Genomic DNA, 1,555 nt, shown 5'->3' with positions numbered 1-1,555 from the left:
ATGAGTTCAACAAAGAAGCAGAAATCAGAAAAAACAAGCAAACAGAAAACTTAAAACTGAAGAATGCAGTGACTCAACTGAAACATTTAAGAGAGAGCTTCGGCAGCAGACTGACTTGATCAAGCAGAAGAAAGAATTGGTGAACTCAACGGCAGGTCATTTGAAATATCTACTCACAGGAGTGAAAAAGAAAAAAAGAATGAAAATGGTGAAGGAAGCCTATAATATGTAAGGGATATGATCAAGTGAACAAATATATGAATTATGATCATTTTAGGAGGAGAGAGAGAGAAAAGGGAAGAATTCTATTTAAAGAAATAGCTGAAAACTTCCCAAATCTGGGGAGAGAGAGGACTATCTAAATTCATGAAACCGAAAAGGTACCAAGTGAATTAAACCTAAAGTTGTCTATATCAAACACATTATAATTAGATTGTCAAATTCAGAAACAAAGAATTTTGAAAGCAGCAAGAAAAAAGTGACTCATCACATATAAGGAAACCACAAGACTATCAGTGAATTTCTCAGCAAACACCTCCCAGACCAGGAAAGTGGGATGACATATTAAAAGTGTGGAAAGAAGGAAACTCCCAACCATAAAATCTATACCTGGAAAAAGTCCTTTAAAAATAAAAGAGAGATAAAGGATTTCCCAGACAAACAAAAACTAAGGGAGTTTGTCATCACTACATACGCTTTACAAGAAGTGCTAAAGGGAGTTACTCAAGTTGAAACAAAAAAAAAAACCATTAAATATGAAAGGATATGAAAGGTATGAAACTCACTGGTAAAAGGTAAATATATAGACAAAGATAAACATGTTAGAACTCATAAACAAATGCAACAAAGTTGCAGATACAAAATCAGTATGCAAAAATTAGTTGTGCTTCTACACACTAACAGCAAACTATCTGAAAAGGAAATTTAAAAAGCAATCTCATTTACAATAACATCCAAAAAATAAAATACTCAGAAATAAGTTGAACCAAGAAGGTGAAATATCTGCATGCTGAAAACCATAAAACACTGATTTTAAAAGTTGAAGACACAAATAAATGAAATAATGTCCCATATTTGTGAATCAGAAGAATTAATATTGTTAAAATGTTTATACTACCCAAAATAACGTACAGATTCAATCCAATCCCTATTGAAATCCCAATGGCATTTTCACAGAAATAGAAAAAACAATCTTAAAATTTGTATGGGATGACAAAAGACCCCAAATAACGAAAGCAATTTTGACTAAAAGGAACAAAGCTGTAGGCATTATACTTCCTGATTTCAAGTTATATTACAAAGCTACAATAATCAAACCAATATGATAATGACGTAAAAGCAAACACACAGCCCAGTGAAACAGAAGACCCAGAAATAAACCCATGCATATATGGTCAACTAATCTTTAACAAAGGTGCCAAGAACACACAATGGGGAAAGGACAATTTCTTCAAATGGGGGAAACTATAACCACATGCAAAAACAGAAAAGAAAAGAAAAGAAATTGGATGCTTACTTTACACCATACACAAAAAATCAACTCAAAATTGTCTAA

Source organism: Homo sapiens, chromosome 4 (genome assembly GCF_000001405.40).
Source record: "Homo sapiens chromosome 4, GRCh38.p14 Primary Assembly".
NCBI classification, from domain to species: domain Eukaryota; kingdom Metazoa; phylum Chordata; class Mammalia; order Primates; family Hominidae; genus Homo; species Homo sapiens.
Note: the sequence above shows the minus strand (reverse complement) of the source record.